This window comes from Homo sapiens, chromosome 20, assembly GCF_000001405.40.
Source record: "Homo sapiens chromosome 20, GRCh38.p14 Primary Assembly".
Classification (NCBI taxonomy): domain Eukaryota; kingdom Metazoa; phylum Chordata; class Mammalia; order Primates; family Hominidae; genus Homo; species Homo sapiens.
Genome location: NC_000020.11, coordinates 59,915,260 through 59,933,706, shown reverse-complemented (window position 1 = coordinate 59,933,706; position 18,447 = coordinate 59,915,260). Strand labels below are relative to the sequence as shown.

General features: G+C 36.1%; 1 protein-coding gene across 12 annotated transcripts in view; it reads left to right on the top strand.

The window, feature by feature from the left end:
• SYCP2 (synaptonemal complex protein 2) overlaps positions 70-18,447 on the top strand; it is a 70,067-nt gene continuing 51,689 nt past the window's right edge. For 4 of the 12 annotated variants that reach the window (XM_047439828.1, XM_047439827.1, XM_047439826.1 and 1 more), the window contains exons 1-9: positions 70-138; positions 1,553-1,645; positions 11,248-11,338; positions 12,254-12,397; positions 13,220-13,348; positions 14,110-14,214; positions 14,525-14,549; positions 17,136-17,221; positions 18,157-18,242. In XM_047439828.1, the coding sequence (XP_047295784.1) occupies positions 11,294-11,338; positions 12,254-12,397; positions 13,220-13,348; positions 14,110-14,214; positions 14,525-14,549; positions 17,136-17,221; positions 18,157-18,242 (620 nt within the window). In that variant the 5' untranslated portion in view covers positions 70-138; positions 1,553-1,645; positions 11,248-11,293. Of the gene's footprint in view, positions 1,646-11,247; positions 11,339-12,253; positions 12,398-13,219; positions 13,349-14,109; positions 14,215-14,524; positions 14,550-17,135; positions 17,222-18,156; positions 18,243-18,447 lie in introns of those variants that run through there. The other 8 variants (XM_011528490.4, NM_014258.4, XM_017027587.2 and 5 more) reach the window with 8 other exon arrangements.

Below are 18,447 nucleotides of genomic sequence, written 5' to 3'. Positions count from 1 at the left end.
TGGCGCGGATTGGACGGGCGCTTCCCGCCTTCCGCCGTTCGCCGGAGGCGCTGCGGCGGTCCCTGAGGCGCAGAGTTGCGACGCTCGGCGGCATAGGGGGCGGCTCCACCGACACTACGCGGACGCCTCCTGCCGCAGGCAGGTTGAGCAGAGTGCCTGGGTGGGCTTCCCCCACGGCGGGGCGCGGAGGGAGGGTGGGGCTTCGGCTTGGCCTTTCAAGCCGGCAGGCGAGAAGCTTCCGACGGTTGAGGCGGAGCCGTTGTGGAAGCTGCCGAGGGGGAGGGGGTGCGGTTCTGCGGCAGTGGGCGGAGGGGAGGCGCCGAGGCTGGGCCAGGGCGTGGGCTGTGCAGAGTTCGCGGCGAGGGTGGCTCGCGCAGGCGCGAGGCTCCCCATCAGCACCTGCCTGGCCAGCCTCGGCCTCGGGGATGGGAAATGGGCGCTCGGAGCCGCCCCCGCGCGTGGGCGACTCGGTCAAGGTGGCTGAGGCGCGGGGCGGTGCGCTTGGCGAGCGGGGAGCAGGCCTGGGGCTGCGCGCGTCGCCGGCCCGAGGAGGCTGAGGGGTGCGGGAGAAGCGGTGGCGACGGGAGCCCTGGGGACCGCTGCTCGCCTGTCTCCGGGACATCTGAAGGGGGGTTGGCGCTGCGGCCTGGGGCGCATCTCGGGTGTGTGTGTGCTTTGTTGGTTCGGGGGTGACCCTGGGAAAAGGGTCACCGTGCCGGCGGTGGGAGCAGGGACTTCGCCTTCGGCCTCGTTGTTGCCACTGCCGGTTCCACTTAGGGAAGAAGGGAGTGCGCGCAAAACCTTCCTCCTGCTCGGCGCCTTCAGTCCCTTCTCTCCCTCCCGCCGTCCCCACCTGCGGCCTCTCCTTGCGGTTGAGGCCGCCAGCCCCTCCGCGCAGCTGGGCCTGATGCGTCCCGCGGCGGCTCAATGCGCGACACGTGGCTCCACGTGCGGCCTTTTCTGGACCGGGCTCCAGGCTGGCCGAGCATCTGCGAATACGGCAGCGTGGTTTTTTTTTGTTGTTTTTTTTCCCGAGACGGAGTCTCGCTCTGTCACCCAGGCTGGAGTTTAGTGGTGCGATCTCGCGTCACTGCAACCTCCATCTTCCGGGTTCCAGCGATTCTCCTGCTTCAGCCTCCGGAGTAACTGGGACTACTTGGCGCGCCACCACGCCCAGCTAATTTTGTATTTTTAGTAGAGACGGGTTTTCTCCATGTTGGCCCGGCTGGTCTCGAACTCCTGACCTCAGGTGATCCACCTGCCTCGGCTTCCCAAAGTGCTGGGATTACAGGTGTGAGCCACCTCGCCCGGCCTACATTTTTTAGTAATGATGGGAGGAGGAGGACGCCTTCCCTCCCCTTCATTCACCTTTAATGTCTTTTTGGACACCTTAGCTATGTTAGTTACCAGGGCAGAGGGGACTTTGAATTATCTACTGCTGCTTGCATTCATTCAGCAGTTTTTCCTTTGGGGGAAAATCTTTGCCTCCCCCATCTGCCAAATTGTTTTCTTTGTTGTTGTTTTTATCCGTAACGCTTTTATCTGCCTGCAGATACACAATCATCATCTTACTAGTTCTCTGTGTTGCTCGCTAACCAGTCCCCCAGTTCAGTAGACTGGAGCCCAGAGCCTGCTTACTTGTCAGGTAAATCCACGCTTCTCTTGAAACATTATTATTCTGTTCTCGGTTTCCGAAGTCGTTCTGTTACATAGTAGTAGTTCCTAAAGATCTTTTAAATTGTTTCCTTATGAGGCTGGAAAAAATAAGTGTATAACTTTTGTTTCTTTTTAGAGTTAGCCTTCTCTTTCACTTGCAAATGTTAACTTGTTTGATGTTGTGGATAGTGCTGTGCTTTTGACTCTATTGTGGCCTGTATGCATTCAGCTTTGAGGCATGCGTGTGTGTGTGTGTGTAACCTGATTATTCAGTTTGCTTTCCTTGGTTTGTTTTTCCCCAACTGACTTCGTGCAAAAGTAGATTAGAAACTAAAACCATCTTGTTAGCTTTATGTGCCTCTTTGGCTGTACTTTTTTCTGTGCTGTAATTAATGTCTCAGGGCATTTTGTAAAATACACTGTTTCAAATTGCTTTAGTTCTGAAAACAGATAAAGCATAGCTAATGGGCAAGCCTGCCTCAACAGTTGCTGGCCCTAGGGTAAGAGTATAAATGGAGCCCCCACAACATATTTTAAGTATTTAAAGTTTTAAATCAAGTTTTCACATTGTAAAATAAAATAGTCTCAAATTTCACAAATACACCTTCACTGCATCAAAACAGAAAACTACATGTATGGCTATGATGATTATTATTGAGACAGGGTCTTGCTCTGCCGCCGAGGTGGGAGTGCAGTAGCGTGAACATGGCTCACTGAAACCTGGACCTCACTTCAGCCTCCTGATTAGCTAGACCACAGCTGCGATCCACCAGGCCAGGCTAACTTTTATTTTTGTAGAAATAGGATCTCACCATGTTGCCCATGCTGGTCTGGAGCTCCTGGGCTCAAGCAGTCCTCTTGCCTGGGCCTCCCACAGTGCTAGCCACCAGCATTACAGACATAAGCCACCAGCCAAGGCTATTATTTTTATGACTGAATCCTGAAAAGTACCAAAGATAACTGAATGCATTTATTATGGATATCTGATGATGGACTGGTAATCTTTGAATAAGTGATAAAATACTTACATAATTCATAAGTTACTATATATAGTTCATTTTTATTTTAAAAATCATGTTATAATGAAGACTTTTACTTATTTACTATTGACAGCCATGATCTAAGGGTTAAAACTGTAATTACTCAAAATGTGTTATACTCAAAATGTATCAAATTTGGGTTTATATCACAAACATAAAATAGGTGTAAAAAGTATTTTTCTTTAAAAAATTCTTAAATATTAAAATTATTGTAGAATTGTAATTGTTTCCTTAAAAAATTTTAATAACACCGGAATTGCTTATTTTTGAATAATTGCATATTATTAAATATTATAACAATACATTTATTCACTATTTTAGTGTTTGCTTACTGTCTAAAGAGTCCATATCATGTTCACGTAGTTCATGTCTAGATCTACATATATATTAATATAGATTGCTTACTACTACAGAATGTTCCTCAGCCACCATGTGCTACTGTTGCAAATACTGTGCACTAATTTGCTAGTATTTCTAGAGTCACAAATTGGAGTAAAAAGAGAAGGAAGAAGATGGGCATTTGGCACTGTTAAGAAGTAGTATCTTGTCATGCAAGAATCATCTGTGTTCTTGCTTTGCAGGGGAAGGATTTGACAATATCTCTTTTCTCTTACCTAAGCACTTGCTCACATGCTATCTTTGTTCTGAAGCAGAGACTAAAATGTTAGCATTAGCACAATCTGAAACCTTCTCTGTATTCAATTGTGGCTTCACACTCCCCGACTTCTTTAAGCATTTTTTTTTTATTATTATGGAAAATTCGGACATACGTAAAGTAAGCAGAATAGTGTAATTAATTGCAGTCCTCTTCTTTCATAGGCATAGGCAAAGGAAGTTCAGGGGCCTGAAAGATAGAGTTATGAGAATGAATAATGTGTTCATGGTTATAGACTTTCTGGGGGTAGGGCTGAGTCCTGGATTTTGAGCTAATAGAGATGCCTGTGTGCTCAGTAATAAGAGATAGTGAGAAAGAGATTACACTATATAGAGCGCATAGCAGGGGCCCCTTTTGCTCTGTCCTAATGGTTGTGGTGATTGAAAGGGTATATATGAGTGTATGTTGAACCTTAGGAAACAGAATTAAGTTAATTTAATCAATTGTATTCTCAGTCTAGACACCATGCTTTACTACACTCCTCTAAATAAATAATTAAAATTCTCTTTTTTTTTTTGTCTTTTGGTCCATTTTATTCCCTATCCCTAGGGTTATTTTCTTTACCTGTGCAAATCATCCAATGTTCATATGCCCAGTATTTGTATCCTTCTTTAATAAAGTATCCTCTGGTGTTACACAGATATACACATATCAATAACAGTGCATATAAGCCTTTATTAAGTATACTTTAGATTTTACATAAAGAATTTCTATTATCTCATTCTGCATTTTTTATGCTTTATATTGTGTTTGAGATGCACCATATTCTGAGATACAGATCTTCTTCATTATATTCAGCTACTGAATTCAGTTGCATCACTCACCACATTTCATGTTTACCTCCTCACCCAACACACTGACAGAGGCAGTTTTCAGTTTCTTGATATTAGAAGAAATGCTTCAGTAAATATTTTTATATTCCCTTTGTGCTTCTGAGTTTCTCTAAAGTGTAAAATTAGAAGTGGAACTACTGTGTCATATGGTATTCAAGTTTACATTTTTACCCAATGCTATCAAACTCTTTTTCAAAGTGCAGTTATTTGCTTCCCACCAGGAGTACATACATGATTTCCAATTTCCTTTATTCCCACTGTGACTTCGTAGTATCAGTCTCTTTAGTTTTTGCCAATATGGTGGATGGTGGAGAGGGGACTGGTTATTGTTTTACTAGCATTCTGATTACCATGGAGGTAGCATTTTCATTTCTTTATTAGCCAGTTGAGTTTTACTTTCTGAATGACCTCTTCTTCTTTTCCATTTTTGCTGTTGGGTTATTGCTTTTTTTTCCTCCTTGATTTGTTAAGTTCTTCATAATAATACTTTTTATGTTAATCCTTAGTCTCTTATTCCATTGCAAATGTCTTCCTAGTATGCTGCCTCTCTTTTACAAACAGTGATGCACAAAAAGTTAAAATCTATTACTTTTTATGTTTTGTGCATTTGTTTTAAATTCTTTCCTCTTGGAACATCTTAGTGATAGCCTCCTGAATTTTCTGCTAATAGTTTATAAACATTTACTTTTTACATTCATGTAGTTAATTTATCTAGACCTTATTTTTTTATGGCAAAATAGATTTCTAATGTTATTTTTTCCACATGCCAAGTCACTTTTCCCAGACCATTTATTGACCAGTTTACCTTTCCCGATTTGCGAAACCATCTGACTCAAATATGAACTTCCAATATATGCTTATGTGTTTGAATTCTGTTTTGTTTTATTGATCCATTTGTTTTCCATTCTTAATACTTCACTGTTTATAGTTATTTCTTGTGACTTTGTAATATGTTTTAATATCAAATAAGGTGATTTTTCTTCTCTAATATTTTAAAAGTTATTTTAGTATTAGAGCAGCATTATTCCTCCATACATGTTTTAAAAGAATTAGCCAAATCTCTCAAATTATTATTTTGTGATTTTTACTGGAATTGCTTTGGAGTTTAGAAATTCAGATGTTTATTTTAGTGAAGCATTGATGGTTTTATAATGTTAAGTCCTTCCATTAATGAATAGGAACAACTCCATGTATTCATATCTCTTGTTAAGATCTTTTTGTTAGATTTATTCATTTTAGTTATTTATATTAAAAAATGCAATTGTCTGATTATTGCTAATATAAAAAGGAACACTGTAGATATTTATGTTGAGCCTCGCTGGAATCTCTCAAAGGTCCTCTGATAAACAGCATTCCTCTTTCTTCCTGGGTTCTGACAGAGTAGGAAAAGAAACGTAACCTTCATTAGTCCTATATTGGCTAGGTTCATGGGTGTGAGTTTAGGTTGTTGGCCTAGTGAATTTGCTAATACTGAGCTCCAGAATTGAGCAAACTTACTGCCCAAGGCACTGCAAGGTAATTGAGTTAGACCTTTCCAGCCCTGCATTTTTCACCTTCCACCCTGGAAGAGAAAGCTTACTGTATTGACTCCAGAAAAAAAGGACAGAACAAAATACTGACTTTCTCACAGGGGCAGAGCTTCCAGAAGGAACAAAACTGAAAACAACATGAAACTCCTCTTTCAGTTTTCATGTAAACAAAAGGGTGAGCCTGAGCTGAGCCTGGCTCATTTTCCTTCCCAAATTTACCAATCAAATATTTCCAGCTCCTCAGTGGTGATGTAAATTAAAGAAATAGAGAGAGGCCGATGGTATACTCAGTCTTTCTCACGGAAGCTAGGAGTAGGGAAAAGGTATTTCTCTCTAACATTTCCTAGCTTTTTGTTCACTTAATTATTAACCTGTTTTTTGGAGGAGATTTATCTGGATGGTTCTTTTCCTTTCTTCATGAGGCCATTACCTTCTTTTGGGTATTCTCTTTGGATTGTGGAAGAACTTTAGATGTTGACCCTGGAAGAAGATTCTACTTTGGGTTAGAACAGAAAATTGAAACCTAATGCCACTCTATATCTGAGGCAGAAATGTCACTGTTTTACTTCCCATTCCAAATTATCTCTAGATATATGGTAGAGCCTTTGATGTACTATACTGAACAAAGGTATTTGGCAATACATAAAGATGTTTCAGCAGTAAAATGCCAACAAATTTGAATGTAAAGATTTTCTGTTTTGAACATCTCAGGGAACATTAAGGTTGCAAGATTAAAACCCTTTACAAGTTAAAGACCAAGGACTGAAAGATTTAAGTGTCCAGAATCCTTTTTTTGTGCTTCTGAATTTAAAAGTCTAAAGGCCAAAACTTTTAAGTCCCAAAGACACATTCTCAACAAATCTCATTACGTTCAAGTGCAGTCAGATTCTTTGGTGGAGTTGGAGTTCTTTCATCAGCTGTAGCTTCAGCTGTTTTCCATGGAAAGGAAGTACCAGTTATATGTTCTCAGAAACTGTTTGTCCAATGCCAAAGTTCTGGTATATATTTCCAGTAGACCAGTCTCTGTCAGTTATCCAGAATCTGACTTGTTTCACTTTAATTGAAATGGAGAAAATATTTCAGCAAGAGGCTAATTTTGGCACTACATTTGAGGAAAATTTCTATAATTATGTCACCCTGTAATGGCATTGCTGCCTTATGTGCAAGGGGGTAACCCAGGCTGCCCTGGTTACTAGCTCTTATATGACATGTTTTCCTTCCCCACCCAGTACATTCAAAACCTCAACTTTTATTTCTTCTTTGAATCCCATGTTTTTGGCATTCCAATATTAAGTTTGGGCTTTATGTAGTGACTGTTATGGGTTGAATTGTGTTCCCCTAAAAAGATATGTGAGATTCTAATTCCCAGTATCTCAGAATGTGACCTTTTCTGGAAATAGGGTCTTTTGCATTTAACCAAGTTAAGTTATTAACTTATTATTTAAGTTATTAGGGTGGGCCCTAACCCAATATATATTTATAAAAAGGGGAAATTTGGATACAGATATGCATAGAAGACAATGTGAAAAGTAAAAGGAAGAATACCATGTGATAAAGGAGGCAGAGAGTGGATTTATACTGCCACAAGTCAAAGAATGTCGGCAGCTACCAGAAGCTTAAAGATCCTTCTTCCAGCACTTTCAGAGGGAGTATGATCCTACTGACCCCTTTACTTTAGACGTCTTGCCTCCACACTGAGATAATTTCTGCTGTTCTAAGCCATCCAGTTTGTGGCACTTTGTTAAGGCAACCCTAGGAAATTAATACAGTGAGAGTCCACACATAGCTGTGAGCAAACATTTTTCTTCTTGTTACAGAGGCAGTTGGCACAATTCCATCCCTTATGGAATTTATTGGATTTATGAAACCTGTCTTACAGGAGAAGGTTCCTCCTTCAATCCATATTTGTTTTGGCTGGAGACTGTCTCCCAGCAGATTCCTGAATGGAAGCTGCTTTTGTTACTTCTAAAGTTTGTTTCCTTAATACTAGGAGGTGGGGTTAGGAAGAATTCTGAGCCTATAGACAAACATAAATTCAGAGCTATTATTTCCACAGTTCTCTGTGAGGTTTTGACAAACTAGTGAGGTTTTAAAGCAGGCAGTATTGTTCTGCTTCACTTCATCTAAATGAACACTCATGAACTTCTGGTTTTCTTAAAAAAAGAAATCTAACAGATTGATAATAAATTATAGTACCTACATGCATTTGGGAGCAGTAGTAGTCCCAGTAATCCTCTGTTTGATGAGGAAATCTTCCCTCTATTTAAAACATTTAGGAATCAAAGATGTCAATTATAACCTTGTTACCAGGGCAATACGTTAACAAGTGAGGCAACTGGTCAGAGTTATAGACTCTTTTGAAGGTGGAAGGTCAGAGGCTATGACATTAAATAGGCTGAGGTGCCAAAATAGGACCCTTTTATTCAGTTCATGTTTCCAAGAGTATGTTTACATTAACTGATAACCAGATAACTTAGTAACAGTTGTGAATATTCACACATGTGAATAATGTACAAGAGAAAAATACTTTCATCTGTGTGGCCTGCCTTGTTCTCTCAATGATGTTTTCCAACAGAGTTCTTTCTTTTGTTAAATCCTATGCTCATGGATTGAGAAAATCAATAGGTTATTTTAAGTTCTGGGCTACATGTGCAAGATGTGCAGGTTTGTTGCATAGGAAAATGTGTGTCATGGTGGTTTGCTGCACCTATCAACCTGTAAGTATTAAACTAAGCATGCATTAGCCATTTTTCCTAATGCTCTCCCTCCTGCTGCCCCACCAGGCACCAGTGTGTGTTGTTCCCCTCCCTGTATCCATGTGTTCTCATTGAACAAGAGTTTCTGATTTTAAGGTTGTCCAACTTATCAGTTGTCTTTTATGGTTAGAGCTTTTTATAATCTTGCTTATTGCTTATTGCAGGTCATGAAGATGTTCTAATATATTATGTTCTAGAAACTTAATTGTTCTCAATTTTCATTCCACCTGGAAATGGTGTTTGCATATGGTATGAGATGGTATGAAGTAGTGAGGTTTTGTTATATTTCTTATGAACATCCAGTTGAACAGTATAGATTAATTGAAAAGATTATCTTACCCTTTCCTTACTGCTTTATGTTCTACCTTGATCATAAGTCAAGTCATGTGTATAGGTCTGTTTCTGGATTCTCTTTTCAGTACCATCTGTGTTGGACTTTTATGGTAAATCCAACAGTAATATAGTTTTATTAGCTTTCTTTTGTTTGTGTGGTAGCTATCTTTTCTTTTTATTTCCAACTGTTTTGTAGCCCTTTATTTAAGGTATATCTCTTAAAATATAATATTTTTGGACAGCATATAGTTTTAAAAATGATTAACCTACCCGACAATCCAACTTTTTTCTTTTTAATTTTTGTGGGTACATAGTAGGTGTCAATGGAGTATGTAAGATGTTTTGATACAGGCACGCAATGTTAAATGAGCACATTATGGAGAATGGGGTATCCATCCCTCAAGCACTGATCCTTTGAGGACAATCTGCCTTTTAATTGGAGTTGTAGGGGAGGCAAAACTTTACCTCTTCCCTTTTAGAGTTAAATTGACATAGACAGATCAACTGGAGAAAAACACACAAATTTCTTTAATACATGTTTTACATGACACAGGATCCCTCATAAGAACATGAAGACCCAAAGAAGTAGTTAGGGTCAGTTATATACTGAATTGGACAAAGAATAGTAAGTTGTGAACTAAGATAAGGCAAAGAGGCCTTAGGCTAGGGTAGTTAATTGGGTGGAGAAATGACTAGGAAGATAGGAGTGGGTTTAACAAAGTTTGGTTGTACAGATTTTCTTAATTTTAACTTCCCCTCCTTAATTATAAGATTACTTCTCTTTTGGTATAGAGAGGACATCTTTCACATGGGAATTTCATTTCCTGCTTTTAGGAAACAGAATGAAGGTGGGAGTGATCTTGTACCTGCTGTTTTTTGTTGAGTGCCTTTAATTTAAAATAGTCAATATGTCAGAGCAGCATATTGGGAGGGTGACATTCTTACTTCTTCAGAGTATTTAATATATTTTACTTTCAATGTAATTATTGATATGTAACTTTTAATCTATCACCTTACTTTGTGTTGTCTGTTTTTCTTTCTTCTTCTGGGTCTCTTTCTGTTTCTCTCTCTCTCTCTGGATTGATTAAAATGAAAACATTACAGCCTCCCTCCTCACACTTAGCTTAGTAGTTACGTATTCTTTCACTACTCATTTAGTGGTTACCTTAGAAATGATGACATGCATTCTTTTTGTTTATTTTAGAGACAGAGTCTCCCTCTCTTGACTAGGCTAGAGTACAGTGTTGTAGTCATAGCTCACTGTAACCTTCAACTTCTAGGCTCAAGCAATTTCTCACCCCAGCCTCCAGAGTAGCTGGGATTACAGGCACACACCACTATACCCAGCTAATTAAAAAAAAATTTTTTTGTAGACATGGAGTTTTGTAACATACAATATTTAAAAAAAAAATTCCCATAATTATTAAAATGAGATGGTAAGAAACATAATCATCAGACTTTATTATTTATAAATGAATAATACTATCAGGCACATGGTTCCTCTCAGAATAACCTTAGTACTTTGTTCCAAAAAAGACAGGCAAATAATTATGCATATTCTACAAAACACAATAGGGATACAGAGCTTTGAGGAAGACTACAGCAATGATTTGCATTTTCTTGACCAAAATAATGTTAATTCCTTAGGTGTTCATGGCAGGGAGAATCAATGACGTTTATCTTTGATCTTTGTCAGAAACACACAAGATAGGATTGTTTGAAGTGATTTAATCTATTTTTGGTCCTGTTTTCATAAGCATGGAATCTCTCTTTAGAACCTGGTGGATATTTTCTATTAGCCATATTGCAATATATTAATTTGTGGCAGTTATTTGTATTTGCATCCCATGGTCTTTAAGGACCCAGATAACTTTGGGAAAGTGAGGTCCTCACCTTAATTTCAGCATTCAACCAGAAACTGGGAGTTCTTTCTTTCCTGAACACTCTTGTGGACATATGAAATGCATTTGAGTTATCTTTTCCTCACTCCTTTCCTTGCATATTTTGATCCTGTTCATTGTTAGTATATCTGCATATTCCTCCTTTCTTGAATATTAATAGCCCAAATTTCATTTGCACATTAATTCAAGAGTTTTTTTTTTTCCTTGTTCTCAGAGGTGGAACAAGTATAGCAGGGAATCACTGGAAAGGGAGATCCAGGTTATTCTTTCACTAACTAGCTTTGTGACCTTTTGGCAGGATATTTGACATTAATTTAAGTAATCTATAAAAAGGAAGAGCTTGACTAAATGATCTTCAGGCTTTTCTCTAGAAACTTATTTGATCATATTCAAATGTGTAATTTAATAAACAGGTGTTTAGTGAGGAAGTTAATGTTGCCTTTGGTATAAATAACAAATGCATATTTATGTGTGTAAGATATTTAAACTGATAAACACATGAAACAGATTGTGAGATACAGAAAATATATGTTTTCTTTTATAGGTGTTTATTTTGTCTTGCTTTTTTTTTTTTTTTAAATGAAGTCAAAATGCCAATAAGACCAGATCTCCAGGTATGTAGTCCTAGACCAAAAGTAAGTATTTTCATTCTGAAAATCACTTTTTGTTTACTTATAGGTATTCAGTGCTATGTTTTTAGCAATGATAAAGCTTACATGTTTTTATGAAATGGTCAAGAATAGTTTAAATAAAGTGTCCTTTCATGTATTCATTAGATGTTTGCAAAAGCTATGTTAAGAATATTTATAAAGTATTAAAAATGCTGATTCTTTATACCTACCTTTTACATTGAAAAGAATTATGCACTGATTCATGCATAATTTATGCTTGGATATTTTTGTATTAAGTTTTAGAGGTTAAGATATTGTGTATTTAGGTAAAGTGTAAGTGTTAATAATCTATTCAACATGTATGCAGTTCACAGCCAAACCTGTTTAGTGATCAGGTTGTAGTATGAACATTTGTTATTAATGAAGTTGTACTTTAATAGCAAGGATGGCAGATTTTAATAATGTTATAAATATTATATAATGGTAATGCTTAATTTATGTTAGTTGGCATAATTTCTAAAAGGTGCTTTTGCCTGTCTTTATGTATTTTTTTCTTTACTATTTCAACCCCGTTAAGAGATTAGTAGTCAGGTATGCTAGGCTTTTATTCTTGGTTTAAGTGTTCGTTACTTTAAAATTTTTTTGCTTTTTTCATCAAGTTTCTGTTGAGGTTGACATAAAGATGACCTTAGTAATAAAAGATATGAATTGGAAATATTAATAAAATATTTTTTTCTAATCATATTATCAAAGAAATGTAATTTCTAATTCAGTTGTTCCAAATTTAATAGTGGCCATATTTTTAAAAAATACGTGAATTAATATTTTATGAGTTCATTTGAGAGTTTTCATGTGAAAACGGTTCTCAAATTACTAGATTGCATAAGGTAATTAATTTTGGTTTTGATACAGTATGTGCCATTAAATATATTTCTCTAGCAGTTGGAAAAATGCATTGATGATGCTTTAAGAAAAAATGATTTCAAACCTTTGAAAACACTTTTGCAAATTGATATTTGTGAAGATGTGAAGATTAAATGCAGCAAACAGTTTTTCCACAAGGTGGACAACCTTATATGCAGGGTAAATATTCATTTTTGCTGAATGATTGTTACAATTATTAGATAGAACTCTAGTTTTAGAAGGAAGTACTCCATTAGAAAAAAATGAATAGGCTTGGGCAAGCTCAGTCATAATTATATAAATAAATGCTTATTTCACCATTTGCTTATTATTGTTTGTTTGTTTGAGGAATCTCAACACATTGGAATGTCATTTCCCAAATAAAATATACAAAAATATGTGTTCACAAGGGCTTTACTATTAACTGTGGCTGAAACTGGGGAAAAAATACTTTAGCTCTTTGAAGTTTAAACAAGTTCATAGATTTTTAAAAAAAACCTATCAGTGTATACTTGATGTTACATAGGCAATGCCTACTTCTGTCAAAACTAAAACATAGAAAAATCACCCCAAACTTTGAATTTAATCATATTTAAGGCATTTTCATACATGAGAAAAGGTGATTATTGATAATCCCCTTACCCCAGTATCTGAGATTCATTATGAATCCAAGAAATTGAATAAAAATTTCTTGTTTCTGTTAGTTAAATACATGGAGCTTTTTAGAATGGAAAGTTGCTGATTCATTGTATCATAGTATAAAGTTTCTTGGATTTATACAGATTTCCATTTTTGTCCTGAGTTTGTCATTCCCTGACTGTATGGCTTTGGGCAGGTCACATTCTTAAACCACATTTTCATCTGTTGCAATATAGAGATGATTAAAATGACCATCTTTCAGGATTTGTGAAGATTAAAATATATGTGTAACACTCCTTGTACAATGTCTATTTCATACTGTTTTGTGTTTACAGAAATTTTAATGTATACCTTTTATTTCAGGAACTTAATAAAGAGGATATCCACAATGTTTCAGCCATTTTGGTTTCTGTTGGAAGATGTGGCAAAAATATCAGTGTATTGGGGCAAGCTGGACTTCTAACGATGATAAAACAAGGACTAATACAAAAGATAAGTATAGAATATGTAACATATTCATGTGAATGAAATATTATAAAAGATATGCTTTCTAGTAAGAAATTATCCAAATTGTTGAAAATAAATTTAGGAACTTTATGTACAATTTTGGGAATAAAACATTTCTATAACTTGTGATATATGTTACAAATATAAAGATCACAAACTGTACAAAGACAGACTCCTTGGTAATCATGTGAGTTTAAGCTCCCTAAGGCCTTGACTTGCTTTATTGTCTCTTTAACTCTTATTATCTAACTTCATTTTTTGTTTTTATATTGTTTGTCTGTCTCCCATGCTAGCATGTAGGGTATTGATTTTTGTCTCTTTGGTTCATTGCTACATTATTGGCACCTAGAATAGTATCTGAGATGTATGTACTCAAATATCTAAATTAAGGTAAAATAATATGAAAACTTTTCATATAGTAACAATATCAAAATGGTCTAAATTGTGATGATAATTTACTTCCTTCTATTATAATAAACGTACCCTAACTAGGAATTTGAAGGAGAAATAAGGATCTTCTACATGGAATCAAAATTAACTTCATCTATTCCCATTTTAAACAATGGGAAAAGATAGTTAAAAAAAAACAAGGAAGATCTTTAAAAACATGAATTTATTTTGATACAACACTAAAATTTTAATTTTGATGTGTCTTTATTCCTAGGTTTACTGTTTATGCAAAGATAGATAAGTACATTCTTAAAATTATTAAAATGGAACTCTAATAAGTTCATTCCTTTTTTTACATGGTTGCCTGGTTTGAAAAATCCAAGGACATTATTCAGAGTCAAGGAAATTCAAAAGATGAAGCTGTTCTAAATATGATAGAAGACTTAGTTGATCTTCTGCTGGTAAAAATCACATTGATTACACTGATATTTATAAAGCATGTGTTTATTTAAAAAACAATTTGTGTTCTCTGTGCCCTGAGCCTAAAAGTCACTAACAGATTGGTTGGTGACTTGGTTGGATTGGTCTGTTCAGATTGTATAAAGCATTTATTCTGGTAAATATAATTAAATGGTTAGTTAATAAAAAGTAATTATGCTCTGAGTTAAAATGTAATCTGTCATTTCAATACCATTTGTAATGGTTTATAATATTGTAATGGTTTGTAATATATAGTAACTTGTAAATTAAATATTATTCACTTTTTTTCAGGTCATACATGATGTCAGTGATGAAGGTATAATAAACACTTATTTTCTATTGGAACAATAAATTTTACTGTTAGAGTTTTAGTATAATTTTACAATTCCCATTGTGTTGTCCTAGTATTAAGAACTCATTATCTGATTCAAGGATCAACAAACTTTTACTGTAAAGGGCCAGATAATAAATATTTTAGACTTTGTAGTCCAAGAGAAAAACAATTAAGAATATTATGTAGGGTACTTGTATAACAAGAAAGAAAAACAAATTTCTATGAATAATTTATTGATGCCATTGAAAATATAATAGTTGTACAATTTTTTGTAATATAGGTCTACTAATAATGAAACTTGCATTCTTTTTGCGAGAGAATAACATTTCATTTAATTAGGGTTCAGAGTTAGTGTTCTGTTTTCAAAATTGATTGTAAATGTTCATTTGTTAATCCCTGTCTATAATGAGGTTTTATGTATGTCACATTAGAAAATGGCTTTTCATGCAGACAATGCCAAATACTGATATCAGTGCATAAGCATGCTTTTAATTGAGCGTGTTCATCACTTGAAAGGCATTAATAGAATTGTTAGGTTCTTAACATTTGCATTTTAGAATGTCATTGCATTGCAAATTAATCACTTCCAATTGAAGGTTATGTGGAAGCTTCCCAGTTGCACAATTAAATGGATTTTGAAATGTGGAAATTTCCTTTGTACTTACAACAAAGCCCAAAAACACTGCTAGACCTGTAGTTGGAGTTTGGAAAAAATATATTCCCTGCAAATTTGTGTGGAAATGGAGATGTTGCTTCCTGTTTTGACAGTCTGTGAAGTGTATAAAGCAGCATAGCATTGCTTGCCTTTCAGATCACCTTAGTTATCAGAATGACTTCACTGCAGTGTTAAGTTCATGATGCAAGCATAATTTTATCTTGTAATTTTGTGCCCAGTTCATTTAGAAACATTGTCAACTCTGCAGCCAGTGCTAATTACCAAAGCCATTCAGTATTCAGCAATAAAGGTTGAGGACAGCTCTTGTTCAGAAAAATTTCAGTCTTGGTGCTGGATATCAAAAAGTCACAATAAAACCCCACTGCCATTGGACTGCTGTGTGGTAGGGAAAGTCAGAATACTCAGCTTCTGCTTCTGACAAAAATTCAAAGAACTGACCATGGGTAAACTGACAAGAGTGAATGATGTTCACCTTTGACACTACTGTTTTAATAAAACATGATAGATTCAAATAGTTTTCACAGAGCACTTGCTGGTGAGTAATACAGTCATGCAAAAACTGGCAGTGAGTTGCATTTAGTTCGTGGGCCATAGTTTGCCAACCTTTGATCTAATGGAACAAATTTTCAATAGTAAATTGAGAATACAGAATATGTTCCTACTCATTCTTTGACTTGTGGCCTGCTTGTGCCAAGCAATCAGATCCAACTTATTTTAGCTCTGTGTTGATTGAAGAAGACTTACCTAGGATTGGTCAATGAGGCTGGTGAATTATTTATAAATAAAGGTACTTGTTGTCTTCAGAGCCAAAAAGTTTTAAACAGATTGCCATTGATTTAAATAATAATTAATCCTACCTCTTCGTTGATTGTTTTTGCTACATAACAATGTAGTCTAAATTTTTAAGTTTTTAGGGAAAAAATCCTAAAGCACCAGCAATTGTAAAGTGATCCACCTGATTTTTAAAGTAAATAATTGTATCTTTTCATCTGAGTACTTTTTTCTTTTTATGCAGTCACTTTGGAAAACTGTACATTTGTTGTTACAGTATTTCCATTGTTTAAAGTTATTTTTAAAATTTGCATTATGAAACAGCATGTACACATTCCTCTGAATATACTTAGTATTGATAAAGCCTCATCTTTCAAAAATGCGTTAACGTAAAAGGGGCTCACATCATTTAGAACTTCATTGGGGTTAAGATGTGTTGGTCTTTATGGGTATAAAAATTTTTGATGTATAACTAAAAATTAATGAGGTCAGTTTTGGTAAAAGCCTTAGAATTGAAGTTTTCAATTTTGAACTATATTTACTTAATCTAAAAAAAAAAATAAATACCTCCTTATGTGCCTGCAGTTAGAAACTAGATCTAGAGTTGTCCCTTGACAGTATTAAAATCAGTCACATTTGTTGAGTGGTGTTTTTTGCAAGGCCAAGTAGAATTAGGACTTAATTTCATTCTTTCTCATCCCCAAGCCCTGGTGGGCCTTCTTCTGAACTGCAGTAGTATATCCTTTCCACTAACTCTTTATTTATTTTTATTTTTTGAGACAGGGTCTCACTCTCACCCAGGCTGGAGTACAGTGGCACGATCACGGCTCACTGCAGCTTTGACCTCCTGGGCTCAGGTGATTCTCCCACCTCAGCCTCCCATGTAGCTGGGATTACAGGTGCCCGGCTAATTTTTGTACAGACAGGATTTTGCCATGTTGCCCAGGCTGGTCTCAAACTCCTGGGCTCAAGCAGTCTACCTATCTGGGCCTTCCAAAGTGCTAGGATTATAGGCCTGAGTTACCATGCCTGGCCCCTTTCCACTAACTCTTATAAGAAAAGACTGACAGTTAAGAGGATTTGAAATGAACATTTATCAATAATTTAACACTTTTATTCAGGTAAAAAACAAGTAGTGGAAAGTTTCGTACCTCGCATTTGTTCCCTGGTTATTGACTCAAGAGTGAATATTTGTATTCAGCAAGAGGTAAAGTCATTTATTTGTGTTTTAAAAACTAAAAATGAGAACGTGAAGAAAATCAATAGCAATTAAATTGACAATTTATTTCATGTAGGACAAAATTACTTAGCTTGGAGTATATTTCTATCATAATCTATTGCCTGACATATTTCCGAAATACTTACTGAAAATTTATAACCATATGGGTTTATGTGTGCATATAGCTCAAGTGGAAATAAATTATACCAACCAGATTTTTGGGGTGCTTAAGTATTTAAATGCTAAAAATAATCTGTATTAGTATATGTATGTGTGTACATGTACTATAATCATAAGAACAAAATAAAGTAACATTTTTTGGCTTCCTCAGATCTTATAATGGAGTTAAAATAAATACAAGTTTTATTGCAAAAAGTACAAGTGCTTTAAGTATCGGAGTCATGTTATATTCTATTTTTGATATTCTATAGTTTATGTTGTTTTTATATTCATTATTTTATACTTTATTATTTTTATTTTTTTGAGAGAGTCTTGCTCTATCTGCCTAGGCTGGAGTGCAGTGGCGCAATCTCAGCTCACTGCAACCTCTGCCTCCCAGGTTCAAGCGCTTCTCCTGCCTCCCTTCCGAGTAGCTGGGATTACAGGCACGTGTTACCATGCCCAGCTAATTTTTGTATTTTTGGTAGAGACGGGGTTTCACTATGTTGGCCAGGCTGATCTCGAACTCCTGACATCAAGTGATCCGCCCGCCTTGGCCTCCCAAAGTGCTGGTATTATAGTGAGCCACCATGCCTGGCCTATTTTATACTTTATATATTCTTTCCTCCATCCTACTCCATTCCCATAATAAAACTCAGTGATTAAGAAAAAATTAGGCTTCTAAGTTTATGTGCCTAGAATATTTCTCTTAATAGTGTTTCACTGAATGTAAAGTTAATGCATTATCTTTTTTTCTTTTCTAGATTATAAAAAAAATGAATGCTATGCTTGACAAAATGCCTCAAGATGCCCGGAAAATACTCTCTAACCAAGAAATGTTAATTCTCATGTAATAATCTGTACTTATATGGTTTTTATTCTTAAAATCCATAAGAATGTTTTATAAGACAGACAACTATGAGTTTGCATTAATAATGAAACTGATAAACTGTTGCAGCTTTTTAATATAATTTAGTGTATGCATATAATTTCTGCAAAAGTCGATGATATTAGCCAATTGTAAATTTTTGTGAAGTTTCTTTTCCTCCTAAACA